The sequence below is a fragment of the Homo sapiens genome, chromosome 11 (assembly GCF_000001405.40).
Source record: "Homo sapiens chromosome 11, GRCh38.p14 Primary Assembly".
Classification (NCBI taxonomy): domain Eukaryota; kingdom Metazoa; phylum Chordata; class Mammalia; order Primates; family Hominidae; genus Homo; species Homo sapiens.
Window position 1 is genome coordinate 122,206,783 of NC_000011.10, and position 18,736 is coordinate 122,225,518.

General features: G+C 42.0%; 1 long non-coding RNA gene across 4 annotated transcripts in view, besides 1 other annotated feature; it reads right to left on the reverse strand.

Moving 5' to 3' along the window:
• Nucleotides 1-18,736, reverse strand: part of MIR100HG (mir-100-let-7a-2-mir-125b-1 cluster host gene) — a 394,543-nt gene that overhangs the window by 178,454 nt on the left and 197,353 nt on the right. The gene's annotated exons all lie outside the window — the stretch shown is intronic.
• Nucleotides 8,868-8,917: an enhancer, noted in NCBI's record as "active region_5666". NCBI's record gives its function as "activates an Ori minimal core promoter by ATAC-STARR-seq in GM12878 lymphoblastoid cells {active_cell/tissue: GM12878}" and the evidence as "EXISTENCE:reporter gene assay evidence [ECO:0000049][PMID:35858748]".

An 18,736-nucleotide genomic window follows, 5' to 3' on the forward strand; every position in this document is an offset into this window, starting at 1 on the left:
TCTTCTGAGTAGAAAGAAACAGGAAGAAAGCTAGACCCATCATAAGACTTGGTGTCTCCATTTCCCGACTAGGTCACTTCTCAGGAGAGAGAATCAAAGGGCACCTTCCTGGCTGCAAAAGATGGTTAATTCACGAGAAAAATCTGAATCCATCAAGTGTTGACTAGACACCTCCTATATGCTCAAGATACAGGATAGAAGTAGAAATCAAGTTCCACAGTAACCTGAGTTACTACTAGTCAGTTAACAATCATTTGCTCAGTAACTACTCTTGGCCAAAGACCATGGTAAGCATGAGGAACCCGACTAGGATGACTAGGCCAACCCTCCCAGGGGTCACAGAGTAACAGGTGAAAGGGAGAAGCACAGCCCAGTGTAAAACTCCTGCAAAGGATTATAGGGTGCTGTGAAGGAAAATAACAGAATATCCAAATAATCATTTCTAGGTTTTATGTTTTTAACAGAAAAGACATGTCAGACGCCACAAAGAATCAGGAGCAGTCAGTCTGTAGGAATCGTCCTGGCCTGGGAATGTCAGAAAGAACATTCCTAGTCCCCAGTGCCCAGATAAGGGCAGTGGAGGCTGAACTCAGAAGAGGACCACTGAGCAACTGGCCACACTGGGGGCTGTACTCCTCAGGGCAATGAGGAGGATGAGAATGGAAGGAGGAGGCCTCCCATTCTACATCCTTCTCCGGCAGACCCCACTCACCCTGCCAGGTGACAGTTCAGTGGATGTGACTTCCACCCGTGGCTAAGCAAGGAAACAGCCTCTTTGGAACTTCTCCAATGTCGCAGCTCTCCTGTCCCCACTGCTGTTCCACTCAAGCTCGCAGATGAGCCCAGCTCCTCTCCTCCATTCTAAACGCCTCTGTTTCAGGGAAGCGTTTGCATTTTCCTTGGCACAGGTACAGCTTGCTGAATTCTTTTAGGCCAGGCCAATTACAACAAGCCCTAAAATTGCTGAGCCAAGTGGTTTCTTCAGAGATCTGCTTACATTCCCTCCCTGAAAAGAGCAGGGGGCCCACTTCGTGCTGTCTCTGCACACAAAAAGTGCACGTTTCGCTTTTAAGGTGGAGTAGGCATAGGACAGTTTTCCCAGAGAGAGGGTGAGATGCAACCTATTTTCACTCTGTTTTTACTTCGCCTAATTGGGCTTCATCCCATTTCAGAGGACGGACAAGATGGCTCAGGGCCGGCTCCCTTGAAGACCGTCTTGAGAAAGGGCTAGAGAGGCTTTTAGTGCAAGCCCCACGGGATCACAAGTTGAAAGAAGTATTTACATGTGTCAGTACCCTCTCATTCCTGAACTTCAACTAGGTTCAGGGTTCAGTATTGCAATCACATTCTCGTAAGTTCTGGCTTTGGGAGGAAGATGGAGTCAGTAATGCATAACTTTGATTTTTTTAAGTAATCATGATATTTGGGTAGAAATAACTCAATTCCAAAGAATTATTTAGATTAGTCTAAAGTTGTTTTTTTTTCCTGATTTTGAAATTGTTACACCATGACTTTTCAACAAACTCACCTCTTTGTTTATTTTCTATTATGCTTACATCAGAATACATAACATTCCCTAGCTATTTCTAGCTTAGAGGAAGACATTGAGAGATTATCTTAATGAGAACAGGTCAAGCGGTGGCATAGCCAGTTTGGAATTTAAAATTATCCATGAATAATAAAGCACCTAATCTGGTGCAGATCATTGAGAACTGACCAATTCTGAGAGGTACTTGCCAGAAAACCAAATAGTGTCCTTCCCACAATAAAAATGTATCACAGAAAGAAGTGTGTCCTTGATTCTTGGCATTAACTCATGGCTAGTAAGGCCACGGCATTGCAGATCTGTGCTCTGAGTCTGAAGGCATTCTTCAGATGGGGAAACAGGATCTCTTGAAAAGGGAAATTTGAACTCATTCTCACAGATGAGATGACCTACATGTGTCCAGAGATATGAGAGCACTCATTTAGAGCAGAACTTTCTTACTCAGACAGAAACTAAAGGGTCACAAGGTAAAAAACTGCCATTTTTAACTTAAAAGGCAAAAAATCAGGGCAAATCTCATTTGCAGATGGATAAATAAATTCTAGGAACGTAATCTGGTTCTAACATCCTTATCAAAAAGCCTGGCATGATGGACAAGAGGGTCTCTGGTGGTCAATCTCCTGGGAGGGGGCTCTACCAAGAGCCCCCAGTGCCACTCAACCCAGAGACTTTCAGCCCCCACTGGGTACTTGGCAATCAGAAGTAACCACATGTCTATGCTTTTGAGGAAATTTTACAAACTGAAATTTGCCTGGCTTAATTACAAGGATGCTTGGTTTTTCTATATCAGCTAATGAATAGTAGAGGTTCACATTTCCATACCAAGAAGGGAAAGAACATCCTAAACTCAGAGCAGTCTTCAATGTGGGAAACCAAATGGGATGGTGAGAGGGTCAAGTTTCTTGTCTTTCATTTAGAATATAGCAGGACTCAAGAGCTGCTCATCTTCAGGGAATTTCATAGGTTTTTGGCTAGGGACCAATCTGGGTCATAAAAAGAGGAAACCCCCCTGGGCCCAGGTAGATCTCTAAAGAAAAAGCTTTGGTTGCCTGGGCTTTGTTTAGCAAAAGAATATTTTTTTCTTGTCCTAGAGTCAGCAAACATACTGCCAGGTAATCTGAGAGGCCCACAGGGAGACTCCAAGAAGACAAGCCCAATAGTCCCATACCAAAATCTTTCATCTTGAAGGCCATTAATGTGCCACATCTTCACTACATTTCCAAATGCCTACTGCCTTTGGGTGGCATCACAGCAATAAACACAGGACTTAATTAAAAGTCATTTCCATTTCATTGCTAAAGCCAAGGAAATCTGGTACCACAGCCTTGAATTTATAAGTAGGAAAATGGTACAAAAAAAGTGAGGGTGGGAACTAATTTAAAACACTAAAAGTCACTCAACACTGCCAGTGGGTGGTGCAGGATATTGCCATGGCACTTTCTGTTAAATTTCTTTCTCCCAATTCTTTGCAGAATTCTCCTCACTTTTGTGTGCAGAGAGCCCCACTAACTAAAAGCAACCTGAGTATTAGATATTATCACCATGAAGGGTTGGGGCAATGGGACGCATCAAATGGCATCACCCGTCAGGGAAGTACAAACCTGCATCCACTGCCCTATTTCTAATCTTGACTCACCCTATGACAGGGTCATACTCCCCTCATCATGAGAGGTTATGGGGGAGTTTGCACAGCTAACAGGCCACTGTTACTCCCTGCTTGTTTGTCGGCAAGAAAAGTGCAGAAAGTTCAGTTGCTCCCATTGGCCATTGGACAAATGCCCAGTTGCTCTCTGGGGAAATCTGATTGTGTCATAGTTAATTCCTCCCTCACGCATGCCCCTCCTTTATAGCTGCTTAGTTGCCAAGCTCTGTCCATTCTTTCTCCATTGTATTTCTTGAATTAGTCCCTTTCTTTTATTCCTACTGCAATTATCCTCAGTGAAGTTTTCATTTTTTCTTGATTGGACTATTGCTATATCTTCTTACTTGGTTTCTTACTGCTAGGATCTATCCACTGTAATCCATTTTACATGTGACTTGTAGTTTAGTCTCCCTAATACATGTCTCTGATTATGTCACTCTTATGTTCCAAAACTCATGGTGATTCTTTGTTGCCTGCACTGGTCACAAGTGATTCTGCATTGCCTACTGACCAAAGTCCAACAAATAAATTGACAGCTTTCTTCACAAAGAAGAAATTGTCCTATGACTCACATGTTACCCCATAATTAAAGGACTGAGACCTAGAAAGTTACTCAAACTTCAAGTAGCCCATGCCCCAGAGGTAAATTTCACTTGCCCTATTTAAACAAGGTTTTCTTCGATATATTCTCCTTGTCACAATCAAAAAGTTCTTTCCAGTGTCTGCCTTGAATTATCCCCTAAGCTCTTGAACTCTACTATCTTTAACTATTATTTGTTTTAATAGCAAGTTCCACTCTCAGAAATGAGACTAGCAAATAAAAAAGAAACAAGTGACTCCCAAGAAAAACACCAGAGCATGACATCATAGTGAGTTGAAAGGGGCTGAAGTTGGAAGTGGGCTAATGGCTGTTTATGATTTTTGTTTGTTCAACACCATACGTCTTAGGACCTTAACCCTCTACAGACTATTATCTTGATGGTGATGGGTATTTCTCTGCTGCACTTATACTTCCCTTCCTCAAATCATAAAACATTTATTATATATCACCACAATCAAGTTGTAATAATAATCCACGATGATAGCAATAGTCTAATGAAGAAATATGCTCTGGTAAAGATCCTTGGATATCAGAGAGCAGTGTAAAGATTGTAGAGGACAGGTGCAGTGGCTCACGCCTGTAATCCCAGCACTTTGGGAGGCCGAGGTGGGCGGATCACCTGAGGTCAAGAGTTCGAGACCAGCCTAGCCAACATGGTGAAACCCCATCTCTACTAAAAATACAAAAAATTAGCCAGGCATGGTGGTGTGTGCCTGTAATCCCAGCTACTCGAGAGGCTGAGGCAGGAGAATCACTTGAACTCGGGAGGTGGAAGTTGCAGTGAACCAAGACTGCACCACTCCAGCCTGGGCAACAGAGAGAGATTCCATCTCAAAAAAAAAAAAAAAAAAAAAAAGACTGTAGAAAGCAACTTGGAGAATAATTAATAGAAAAAACAACTCAGACAGTTTACCCATCATTAGAGCATTGATATTTCTGGGGTTGAATGCAGTAGTGGCTAGGAATGGACATTAACTTTTCACACTGAGGGGAATAACACACTATACCACACACAATGTTGAGGATTCAAATTCTAGAGAGTGTCTTTGTCATGTGTTAATGATGGATATAAAGGTTCTCTATATGAGGCCTATGATAGTCAATGGTCATTCCTCTAACTTGGGAATGGTATGGGCTATACAGATAACAGCCTAGAGAGTTAGAAGCTAACTTTCTTTCAAAAAAAGATGAGGAGAAGAAGGGAAGGGAAGGGAAGGGAAGGGAAGGGAAGGGAAGGGAAGGGAAGGGGAGGGAAGGGGAGGGAAGGGGAGGGAAGGGGAGGGAAGGGGAGGAGAGGGGACAGGAGGGGAGGGGAGGGGAGGGGAGCTCAGCAAATTCTGGGGCACAACTTACAATTTTGCCTGATGTCTTACCACACTGCACAGCTAGGAAGTTCTTCTGAAGATCTAACCTGTGTTTCTTCTGGTGTTTTTGTTTATTTGTTTACCATAGATTATTTATAGCCTTTTTCCAAACAGAGAGATACTCACAGCCCTTCCCAGTTGGCTGTTTGGCTCAGCTAACAGAGCTGCTCTAAAAGTCATGGTTAAAACTTCATTCCCCTAAAAGGGTCATCGAGTTTGCTCCATAAGAGAGCTATATCAATCACCCTTCCTAAATGACACTCTTGTCATACATAGAAGAGAAGCCAGGCAGGTGAGTAGATGCCATTATCACCACTGCTTCTGTCTATTAAAAAAATAAAAACAAGATTTCTGCCTACTCTCCAACCCAGCCAAAGAGAGCCTCAGAGTCAGACACCTGGAATTAACCCTCATCCCTGCATCTACAGAGGACGCCTGGCCAGAGCAGTGCCGGCGGTGACAGAGCTGGGACCACTGACATCTGAAATGCATCCTGCACTCCAGCCCTTATGTGGTACTTGCTTGTCTCATAAAACCATTTTGTTTTTTGAGGATGGAGATAAGGTCCTTTAACACAATTTTCAATCTATAGTTGTACTCCAACGTGTTCCTTATACATCTACAATTTCTTCTATCTTATAAAATAAAATACACCCCTGATTTCAGAAAAAAAAAAAAAAAGCACAGCATTAAAAAAAGGAATCTGAGAGGCCACGAGGCTTTTCACATTTTGCCAGAACCAGGCTTTTGTCTGTGCTGGCGCCCTGGAGCTCAGGGATTTCTTAGGAATGAGAGTACAAGTGGCCTTAGGACCTCAATGATTGGAAAGAGACACCTTGAAGGCTGGAAGGAGGAGGTAAGGGCAGAGTTGCATCCAATCTGTGCTCATCTTCCTGTTCAGAATTACCTGGGCAGGTAGCTTAACATCTCCTAACCTTGGTTTCTTCACCTGTAAAATGAGAATAATAAGACAACACATCCCACAGGATCTTTGAGAACACGTATTCAATGGAATGAAACCCTCAGCACAATGCCTGGCACCTCGGGAGTGACCATTAACGATGCCTCTTGTTATTAATATTATCACAATCATCTCAGGGGGGCAAAGTAGCAAAGACTGACCGTGGGAAAGAGAGCTGTGGGAAAGTGACAGAGGTGCTGCCATCCCCTCGGCCCTACCCATGACCCCACTGTCAGGGGTGCAGAATATTTCTCCCATTCACCAGGTCCCAACCCACTCCCAGATAGAGCAACGTGGTGAAACAATAAAAGCCTGACTCCCGCAAGATGGCACCATGACGGGCTGTGCCTGGATCCAGAGGAGATGTCTCTGTCCAGCATTTCCATCAGGCTCTTCCGAGCCAGCTCCTGGGGTGCGCACAAAGACCCATTCAGGATGGCTGGAGTTCTGAAAGCCAGCAGATGAGCCGAGGGGCCGGGAAGGGGGTGGAGAATCAGCACAGCCCCTGGCACTAACCCCACTGGGACCTGCCCTGGGCAAGCAGGCGTGGAGGGCTCAGGTCTGCCGCCACGGCTGCACTCTTTGTTTTCCCGCAGATTCCGTTCTCTGATGGTGGTCCAGGGCACCAAGGACACCAGCTGCCATGGCTGGGATTGAATGACCTCCCTGGGGTGGCTGGGAACCCCCACTCCCATAGTGCCAGCCCAATGGGCAGGATACCCAGTGGAAACAGGCCATTACTAACAGGCCTGCCATTTCGAAAGTGCCTCTTTCTGGGAAAATTGACTCTCAGAGGTTCCCACCCTGGGAAGGTACAGTGAGAAATAAGAAGCTAAATTACTATGCAGTAGCCAATAGTTATTCCCCAGGGCCTAGAAAGTGACTCTGTGCCCCTCAGCCTCAGTTTCCCCACCTGTACAATGGGGCTAGGTACAACAACCTGTTGGAACTCAAAAAGTAGCTGCTGTGAGAGAACTTATCAGTAGTAGTTGGTTTGTTCCCTTTGAACACAAATATATCAGATCTGATGCATCAAGGATATGCCAGTCCTGCAGCTCCCTGAATGTTAGAGCACAGAGGCTGCTTAATGGATCATGATCCTTGGATGCAAATGAAAATAAGATTCCCTCTTTTACTCTTTCCCTCCTAAGTCTATAAGAGGCTGTCCTAACAAGGTGACAAGCTGAACATGCAATAGAAAACTGAGCCCCTTTAGGCTGCCAGAATTGTAAGACATTTCTTGTGGGACAACAGCATTTCCCAGATGACTCAATTCAGAAGGACTAAAAGGAGTTTCTGTGACCTGAAGATGTTTGTACATCAGCTAATCTAGCTTTCCACCTTTGCTGGAATATGCTGACTGCATTTATTTCTCTAGATATCTCTCACCCAATAGTAAGACTCAGTAGAAGCACTACCTCCTCCAGGAAGCCTTCCCTGACTACACAGCTTGAATTAGTGCACTTTCATATTCTCCCACAACACCCTGGGCACATATACTTCTCTCTTAGCAATCAGGAAATTATATTGAAATTGTCTGCTTGTTAGTCTCTGTCTTCTTGGTGACCAGGTACTATACTTTACAATCTTTTTTACTCCAGTATCTAATACAGTGCTGGCATAATGCAGGAATTTAATAAGTGTTTATTGAACTACATGGATGTGTATCTCTCTCTAGAGTATTTGCTAGCATAAACCCCCATTTGTATTTTATAAGGGTATCCCATAACCTCTGCTCTTAGGAAGTTCTATCTCATATCTAACTCAGTTCTCTCCTGCATGCATATATTTCTCTTTTTTCAAACCTTGGGAGACCACAGCCGGTCACGATCCTCATTCTTATCAGAGTGATCATAGAAATCACAACTTGCACTCATCATTGTTTTTCTCTCAGGTTCAGCTTTATTTTTTTTGGTCTGAAATCAGGAATGAACTTTCACAGTCTCAACTCTGGCCATTTTTCCTTTTAACAAACAAATAGAAAAGAACTTCCAAGAATGATTTTGACCAGATAGAGTCTGCTCCTTTTAACAAGATTGTGTGAAGCACCTACTGTGTGCCAGGCTGTGTGTGATGGAGAGGGAGCAAATGCATAAGTCCCTGACATCAAGAGATCTTCAACCTAAAACAGAGAATAATGGGGGTACTGAATTTAATTCATAAAAAGTAGCACCCCACTTTCTTGTGATCCCTTGGTTAGAATCACCAACTTTTATGAGTTTGTAGAAAAGCCCAGAGTGCTAAAAAGTAAAAAGCAAACATTCCATTTCTGAGCAATTTGGGAGAAACTAAATTTGGCCCAGTCAGGAGACACGTTGGGGAGTACCTTAAAGGATAAGTGTCAAGTGTCTGTTGACATTTCTAAAGAAATCCATTTGCATTTTCACTGCTAAGGAGAGGCCGGCCTCCACTGGCCACACATTCAGAAAGCTGGCAGGAGCCACTGGTCAGCAACCCCCAATCAAACAGGCTTCCTCTTTCTGGCCAAAGAGCTCAGGGTCTGCGTGACTTGAGGCAAGTCATCCAGGGACATTTGGGATTCTGATCTAGTGAGCCAGTGAAGACGGTACAGATAAGGCCCAGACAGAAATCTGGCAGCCTAAGTAACATCTGGTTGGTCTGAGGTTTGGACTCTGGCTGGGGCCGGGAGCCCAGGGCTGGCGACTGGGGAGCCTGCACTTGGAGCTGGTGACAGCAGGTGGCGCAGGAGCGCAGAAACCAACCTTCAGTGGGCCCTGAAAGAAATCATGGTGTTAATGCCACCCCAAACCACAGCCAAGCAAGGCAAAGGCGACCATGTTGTCCTCAAGTCCTGAAAAGGGCAAATTGCACAGATGGAGCAAAGAACCATAGATGGGCAATTCTCCGGTAAAGAAAAGCCAAGGTAGGTCGTCAGAGATCTAGGTAAAATCCTTCGATGGTCAAGGACTTCAGAACTTTAGGAAATGTGCAAAGAAAATGAAAGAGAAAGACAACACATAACATTAAGTTCAGGAGCAATATAAGAGCTCCTGGAGAGGAAAGGCTCAAGTCACTTTGAACCCTTAGGGCAGCTGATGAGCCAGGTATCATTCTCCAAATAGCCTCTCCTTCCCTCCAGCAACAAAACGCAAACAGAATATTCACAACAAAAACCTCACCTATTACAGTTAGTAAAGCCTCGAAAATCAACATTTTTAAACAAAAAATGGAAATGTTATCTCCTTCTTAAAGCTAGTAGAAGGCACCTTCTTGTTGCCCCAATCTCTGCATAAGTTCTCCTCCAAAGCATATCACTGGGGGAAGAAGGGAGAAAGTTCCCCTCCAGTAAGTATCCAAGGTTCTTCTGTTTGTGTGCCCAAAATGGGACAAAAAAGCATAGTCCTACTTATCTATTTACCTAACACCATAAGTCGAGGAATTTTAAGCAGCTGATTCTAAAAGCTAGAATAAAAGCGTTACACACAAGATACGAGACAACCTCCCTCCAAAAGATAACGGGCACAAGCAGTAGACTGCTGAGATATGCAATGGAGAATCTTCCCTCATCCACTTAAGCAGTAAGGGTTGGCTTTGGGATAAATCTCAGGGAATGCAAAGAATATTACTTATTTTTCCATTTGGTTTACTTTCATGTTGTTACTTCTCTCGTGGGAAGTAGATGCCTAAGCTCTGATGTATATAAATCCATTTTCAGTGTTTACTTAAGTACATATACATACACTATAGCAAAATGTTGCTTTGCTTGAAAAATCATTGAAACATTTGATGTGTTTGCTCTCAATCAATATTCTGCAAAAAGCATCTGGGTTCGCTGCTCAACTAGGACAGTAGACAAGTCTGGAGTCTTTTCCATGAGCCACCTGCCACTTGCCAGCTCTATGGGGTCCCACATCACAGTTGTCCCAGTAGCAGACAGTATAAGGGCTATGTGATTTAGGCTGCAACAAAGGGTGATGACAGAACAGAGAAAGGCAAGGTGAATTCCCTCTGAATGTGACCAGAAAGGCTTCATGGAGAAGGACACTCCAGTTGTTTGACTACTCCATGCCTTTGGACATGTTTTTTTTTTTTTTTTTTTTTTTTTTTTTTTTGCCTGAAATGCCATTCCTCAACTCCCACCATCATCCTTTTGGGGGAATTTCCAGTTTCCTTCAAAACTAAGTTCTGATGTTATCTAGAGCCCTCCCTGACCATCACTTTGCCCCTTAGAAGTCCTATACAAATCTCATTCCAAATACATGGCACAGGAATGATGCTTGTGTCTTTGTTGTTGTCTTTATTATAATATTCACTCACCAGCTGGGAGACTCCTTTTTTTCTAATTTTTTTTTTTTTTGAGGTGGAATCTCGCTGTGTCACCCAGTCTGGAGTGCAATGGTGTGATCCTGGCTCACTGCAACCTCTGCCTCCTGGGTTCAAGTGATTCTCCTGCCTCAGCCTCCTGAGTAGTTGGGATTACAGGTGTATGCCACCACACCCAGCTAATTTTTTGTAATTTTAGTACAGACAGGGTTTCACCATGTTGGTCAGGCTGGTCTCGAACTCCTCACCTTGTGATCCACCTGCCTCTGCCTCCCAAAGTACTGGGACTACAGGCGTGAGCCACTGCATCCGGCCTTTTTCTACTTCTTAATGGTTTCCCAGATACCTCTCCCTACAGCTCCTCCCAACTAAGTAGGGTTGCCAAATAAAAACAGAACTGCCCAGTTCCATTTGAATTTTGAACAAACAACAAATAGTTTTTTAGTGTAGTATGTCTCAGATACTTCATATATCATATTCTCATTTGTTAACTATGGCAGTCTTATTCCTGAGATCACTGAGTTCGTGCCTTGTGCCCCCTCCCCGCCCTAGGGCAACCATTCAAAGCTTCAGGTGCACTTTCTCAGCATTAGCCTCTCTCCCCAGCCCTCCAGAAGAAAGGTGACACTCCTTGCACACACTGTTAGCAGCCTGGAAGAGTCATCTAAGGTCAGTTTCAGATCCATTTTGAGATTTTTTCTTTTTCTGTCCTGTATTGGCTGTATTTATTCAATAGAAGTCAAGTTTAAGTGTTTCAATTCAATATAATACCACTTGTTCAATTAATTGTTAAATAGGAGAATATCACTTACTTTTCATTTAAATGTGGTTTAACGAATTGCATGAATTACATGACTAAGACACTTTGCAATCTGTTAAATCCATGTTGAATTTCAAAGTATGGCAGGCTGGGTGTTGTGACATTTACCTTTTCAGCTCCTACTGTCTCTTTCTACCATTTCTCTCCTGCAGAAAACAAGGGAGATCCAGCTGGGAAGGCAGAAATCTGCAGAAACACATCCAATCCTATCAGAGTGCCCATCACCGAGAAACACCTTTAAGTTAAAGTTGCCCACTTTATTTCACTATCTTGTCAAATGGAGCTTTAAACATGAAAATAGAAACATCTTGGATTCTTTTAACAAGTCCCTTCTACCAAGACTAACATTGTTTTCCATTTACATCCACTTCCCAGGGCGAAAAATGGCAAAAAGGATAATTTGTAACAACGCTGCCCTACCTTTTTTCACTTCATGACAGGCACAGAAAATTATAATAGCTGAATGACAGGGATCAATTGGAAAGAATTTGGGAGATTCAGTATGAGGCTTAGTAATAAAATTAATTAATATGATTTAAAATTAATAAAAATTATTTTGTTCATTATTTTAAAATATAAAATGTTATATAAATATATTAAATGTGAAATTTGCATAACGTCTCCCAGTTAATGGTATTCTATTTAGAAATGCCTAACATCTGATTGTAAAAGGTAAAGATAAAAGTCACGTATGCCTTCTACCTTATTAGAACAATACAAAATATAAGAGCAAATTAAATCAGAAAATAATCTAATATTTTTATACTGCAGGCAAAGCGAAGAACTTCCCTGAGAATAAATAAATCATGACTAAGAAAAAATTGAACTCATACTAGGACATTTTAACAGGAAGCTCCAGGGAGTGAAATGTACTTCAGCTGTCGCACAACACGCTCTGGTGGCAGTGTCCGTTCAGAGAGTCGCATACACCTAAACAGTCATCACAGAAGCTAGCGAGTTTATAGACAAAGCGATGTATGTTCAAATACACTTGAAAATTTCTAAATGGTTGTCCAAATGATTTTCATACTCTACCACTACAAAAAGCATGCAATCATGAAGAACTCAGGGCACCCCTGTAGGCCGTTCCAGGTGCCCCCAAGACCACACAGCACCTCTAGGAAGCTCCGCCTTATAGGAAGAGGTCACAGTGTGCTTACGTCCTGGCACATTTTAAATGAATGAATACCAAAGAAGAGAATTTAACTAAATGAAAATCTTCCCCTAACTATTAAAGATTGTAGTGGGAAAATGCAGGGATAGCCTCCCTTCCCTAGCCAGCCCTGGTGTATGGAAAGGGCAGGTGAAACCATTCTGTTCAATCCCACGTGCGAGTAGCTGTGAGATGCCAGGCACGGGGATAGGCACTGGAGAGAGAAAATATGCAAACACCTTGGTCCTATTTAGGATCAGCTCACAATGTGGGGAGTGAGACTAATAGATATAAACAGAGATCCAAGAGAATCTATGGTTTATCATCATCACGCCTGTGATAAGAGTCAATGATTCTCAGAATTCAAGGATTCTTCTCTGCTCACCCTCAATGTATGCTCTAACCAGACACACATGATTTTAGCATCGTGCTGTCTTTCTCCTGAATAATTCTCTTTCCCCCCAATAGCTTGCTTTAAGCTTGCTTCTTAAGAATGTTTTTCTCCTACTGAAGAGTCTGCCACTGTTCTCCCTCTCAATCTCAGCTAGCGCAGATGGTTTCAGAGCTTGGGAAGAAGAGCACAGTACCACCGGTTACCATTTTGTGGCTGTATTCCTACATGCCTCGAATGTTAAACTCAGATGGCTGGAGAGCTGGGTTGACAATGAACCCAACAGTGTTTAAGGAAAAAGAGTTTTCTCTACGCATCCCATTTTCTAGGCCTCAGCAGGGTTTCCTTGAGCAGATGACTTTGAAATTGTCAGCCAAACCTGTGCCTCTCAAGAGCCTGTCTCCTTTAGTTCCAGCCCTAGAAGGATCACAGTATTGAGCCATGTGGTTTTGTTGACTCTGTCATGGATGGCACATCCATCAGGGAGTCCCATCTGAGCCCCCAGCAAAACAAAATTAACTAATGTGCATAAATTAGCACCAAATGTCTCCTCTGTGGAGAAATGCCAAAGCCATTCTTTCCTACAACAGATAACTGACCGTCCCCCAGTTCCCATCAGACTCTCTTCAACAACGACCTGCACCTCACTGCACCTTGTGTTTGCTTTTATACCTTACCAAATGATTTCAAATGTATTTCCTCACTTGATCTTTGGCATTTGGGAGGGAGACAATGTAGATGTTTCATTTCCATTATACACATGACTAAAATAAAGCTCTGAGGAGTTAAATGACGAGCCCACGTCACACCACTGAATCTTGAAGGGGTGGCTGTTGGACCAAGATCTTCTGACTCTGAATCCAGTATTCTTTCCACTACCCCATATCCAGCCAGAAGCAATAAGAAAAATATTTGGGAAAACTAACACTGAAGGAGCCAGCATGTCTCTTTCTTGTTCTCTCAACCTCCAAAACAATTCACCAGAAATCTCTGGCAAGTTTCATAAATGTCTGAGTCACCTTTGGTGCACAGTTGATTCTGAAAAAAACTACACACACATATGCACACACACACACACACATTGATATATGCATAAAATGTATTATCATCCCAGTATTGAAAAATCTTTATCATGTTCCATGTTCTTCTCAATGCAGTATGTGCCTATAACCTAGTTCGGTAACTATTTGCTGAATGAATACATTAATGTTTATCTCCCTTATGGCTACATCTTCTTTTACATCTCAGAATCATTCTTCTATTTCAGTCTGCCCCATACCCTAGCTGCCCCTACCAACCTTGCTGCAGTTTTGGAGCAGGCTCAGCCTAAGAGGAAGACACACACAGATAAATGAATCACAGCCAGACAGAAATAAAACAACAGTCCCTATTCGTTGAAACACAACCTATAAATTCTAGCTTCAGAGATGAGTGGGGTAAATAAATGCTTTACTCCTTTGAGACAGATAACCCCTTGAAATAGATATGCAAATCTCATTTTATAAGTGAAGGGCTATATGCTCAGAGGAGTTAAATAACCAGTCAAAGTTCACACAACAGGCAAGTGACAGAGGCCGAATTTGAACTAGGTTCTGAAAGTTCAGTTTACTGCTGAGTATCTAGTGTCTGGCATGGTAACCGGCCTCTCTGATGCTTCTTGAAGAGGTGCTGTATGATACACTTGAAGGCTTTTGTACTGGACGTGTACTTGGCCTTCAAGGCTCTTCCTTAGCTATTTGCTAGATGGTGGTTAACTCTCTCACCTCCTCTGAGGGTTTGCATTTTACTCAATAAGCCCTCCGCTCACCACCCTAAATTGCAACCCATCATTTCCCCTGCCTCCCTCACTCTAGAGCCCTCTTGCTCTACCTTGTTGTTTTTCCATAAAACTTATTACTATATCTCACATATAAAATTTAGTCATTTATTATGTTTATGGTTATTTGCTAAGTGGGCTTTGCTATAGCATGAATTTTTGTCTTTTTTTTTTTTTTTTTGAGATGCAGTCTTGCTCTGTTGCCAGGCTGGAGTGCGGTGGCACGATCTCAGCCCACTGCAACCTCTGCCTCCCAGGTTCAAGTGATTCTCCTGCCTCAGCCTCCCCAGTAGCTGGGACTACAGGCAAGCCCCATCATGCCCAGCTAATTTTTGTATTTTTAGTAGAGACGGGGTTTCACCATGTTGGCCAGGATGGTCTCGATATCTTGAACTCGTGATCTGCCCGCCTTGGCCTCCCAAAGTGCTGGTATCAGAGGCGTGAGCCACCGCGCCCAGCCGGATTTTTATCTTTTTAAATGTACTGATGCATCCTGAACACTAAGAATTTTACCAGAAAAAGAGCGCGTGTTCACAAAATATTTGCTGAATTGAAGGAATACATGAATGGGAGATACTTATTAATGGTAGTTAATATTTGGTGAATGAATGAAGAGTCAAGACTCCTTGCCTTATCTAAGCCATCCTGTGAATAGATTCCATTTGTTACGCATCTCCTGCCTGCTAGGCCCAGTGATGCATAAGTGATCTCACTTAATCAGCCCCCAAATCCTTTGAGATGGAGAATAGTACCTCATATTCTAGATGAAGATATGTAAGTTCAGGGAAATTAAATTAAATTAGCCAAAGATCATACAACTGGTAAGTAAGAAAGGCAGAATTTGAACTCAGTTCTGTCTAACTTCAAAGTTCAGGGGTCATTCTGCCCTGTCACGGCGCTTCTCAATGCACTCACAACTAGAAAGGTGCTCCTCTGTAAATGAAATGCTGCCCCATATGAATAGGTAAGTTTTAGCCATTCATAGTTAATATTATTTTCTCATTAGACTCATGTTCAACTGGAGACGCTTCCATTAACTGAGATGAGGCTGTTTATTTCCTCCACTATCCTGGAGCTGGGCAGCAATGCTCCATGCTAAACCAAGCCTGGTAATTTACATTTCTAATCACTCCACAATTTAATTAATATCATGGCCTTTATCAGGTGCACTGCAAATACAGCTGATGTCATCAGTGCTTACTTAATTAGTTTGAAGGAGAAAAAAGTTTTTTTACAGTCTGAATATGTCTCCACTGGTATGGCCTCAGGGTTTTGTGGAGGAAAAAAGAAACTAACTTAAAATCTGGATTCTGTGATTAAAGACTTTTTTGCTATATAACCTGGGAAAGGTTTATGAAATTGTAATATCACTGGAAATAAAAATATGAAGGTAAACAAGTGGTAATTTCAACCATTTTTTCCAACCTTATTGAAGTATAATTTACATACCTTAGCATTCACCCATGGTTAAGTATACAATTCAATGATGATTTGTAAATTTATAGAGCTTAGCAGTTATCACCACAATCCAGTTTTAGAACATTCCTATCACCCCTCAAAATTTCCTCAAGCCTGTTTGTCACCAATTCCTGCTCCTGCCCTACCCCTCCCCATCTTCTGACAATCCCAGGCAACCAATGATCTGCTTTGTCTAAAGTTTGTCTTTTCTGGACATTTTATATAAGTGGAATCATACAATATGTATTCCCTTTTCTCCCTTCCTTCCTTCTTTCCTTCCTTCCTTCCTTTCTTTTTTTCTTTCTTTCCTTTTTTTTCGAAGTCTTGCTCTGTTGCCCAGGCTGGAGGACAGTAGCGCCATCTCGGCACACTGCAACCTCTGCCTCCCAGGTTCAAGCAATTTTCCTGCCTCAGCTTCCGGAGTAGCTGGGATTACAAGTGCATGCCACCATGCCTGGCTAAGTTTTGTAATTTTTGTGGAGATGCAGTTTCACCATGTTGGCCATGCTGGTCTCGAACTTCTGACCTCAAGTGAACTGCCCACCTAGGCCTCCCAAAATGCTGGGATTACAGATGTGAACCATCGCACCCAGCCATGCTTGGGTTCTTTCCCTTAGTATGTTTCTAGGTTCATCTATGTTACACCATGTGTCAGTATTCTATATCTTTTTTCTCATTGAATAGCATAAATGCACTCCATTTTGTTTCATCACTCGTCAGTTGATGGACGTTTGGGTTGATTTCATTTTTTGGCTATTGTGAACAATGCTGCTATGAACATTCATGTACAAGTGTTTATGTAGATGTGTACTTTCATTTCAAAAAATTGGGTAGATTCCTGAGAGGGGAATTGATAAGTCTTATGCTAAGTTTCCATTTAATTTTTTAAGACACTGCCAAACTGTTTTCCAAAGTGGCTGTTTCATTTTACATTCCCACCAGCAACAGATGAAGGCAAGCATTGATTTCTGAAATTGCTTTAGATAGTGGAATTGAAAGTCTTCAGCTTTGGTTACATTTGGTCTTTGAACTGCAACCTTGAAAGAAAACTGTGAAATACCTAAATCATACTATATACTCTTAAAGACAAAGAATGATGGGAAATTAATTGAAATAAATGAGGTTTAGATAACAGAAGGGATTTGTAACAAGTAAGTGTTCTCAGGGATAGTATTTTCAGCTTTCGTTTGCTAGGAAATTAAATCAACCAATTAAATAAAATAACTCTCCATAAAGATCAGTTAGATTTGCCATATAGATTGTTCATTTACGAAAATGCACTTTGAGAGTTATGTAACAAAGACACTGGTTTCATTTATTTCATTCTCCCTTCCTTTAGCTCCACATCTTGGAAAGAAGAAATATCTTATGAGCTTCATCCAGTTTTAGTATTTACTAGTAAAGCTGAATTGAGCCCACTTCCACATGGAAGCTATAAATTGTTTTATCTTGTTTGAGATCTTCAGACAAAACTCCTGCATCACCAAGATGATGCAGCCAAATCCTAAGATGCAAATTTAGTTGGGAAAAAAATTCAGGCTCTCTATTTCACAGTTCATTAGTTCATTCGTTTACTGTGGAAAACATTAATATGTTTCTTGAGATACCAAGACTCCTAAGGCATGGGTTGTGGCTTCAAGAGAGAAACAAGCATGTCAACGAATACTGCAGTAAAATATTGTAAGTTCTATCATGAAAATAAATACAAATTGGGGAACAAAACCAGACACACAAAAAGGAATAGATTAGGAAATATATAATATAATATAATATATATAAAAATATAATTTTGACTTAAGATCATGCAAGAGGTAATTATTGAATTGCTACATTAAAGACAAGTAGATGTTTGCCAGAGAGTCAGCCATGGGGTGAGGGGTGGTCATTCTAGTTAGATGCTCTAGCAAGAGCAGAGGCCTGGAGCTGTGAAACAGCAGAGAGTGTCTAGAGAAGTGCAAAATCCTGCAGCATGTCTGGAGTGCCCAAGGGACAAACCGAGTGGATGAGGCAGAAGAGAAAGGCTGGTGAGGGCCTTATTTGTCTTAGCAAAGAGAATAAGCTATTTTATAGAAAATAGGGAGCTATTTTATGCTAGATCTGACATAAGATTGGAATTTTGCTCAGTTTATTTTGAATGCAGTAAAGAGGACAACTCAGAGACCAATTAGGAGACTGTTACAGCAGCCAGGCTCAAGTCTGAACTAAGGCAGCAGCAGTAGAAGTAACAAGGAGGCGTAGGATATGAGTGATGTTAAGGCGTAGGATCTAGAGAAGTTATCTGGGGTGGATTACCATGATCTCAGGCTCATCATGAGATGCAAACTTTCAGGTCCTATAGGCATGATTCACAGGTCTGGACTTTGGCCTAGGAATCTTCATTTTCATAAGCATTCCAGGTGATTCTAATGCATCTTGACTGAGGATGCTGACCTGAAGTTTGTAAGCTCACAATACAGAACCACTGAATCTCCAGCTACCACTGGAACCAGGGGAATCAGGAGACTTCTAGGAGTAAATAGACTGCCAAATGTTAGGTGAACTTTGCTGCTGGTCTTTGCTAAGTTAGCTCCTCATTCTGGTTCAGATAACTTTGAAAAAGAAAATTGTAATTCAAAGGAAAACAAATTGAAATTAGTCAACAAATGCAACCAAATTTAATAGAAATCTCTTGCCCATGTATAAGGTTCCAAATAGGGTATC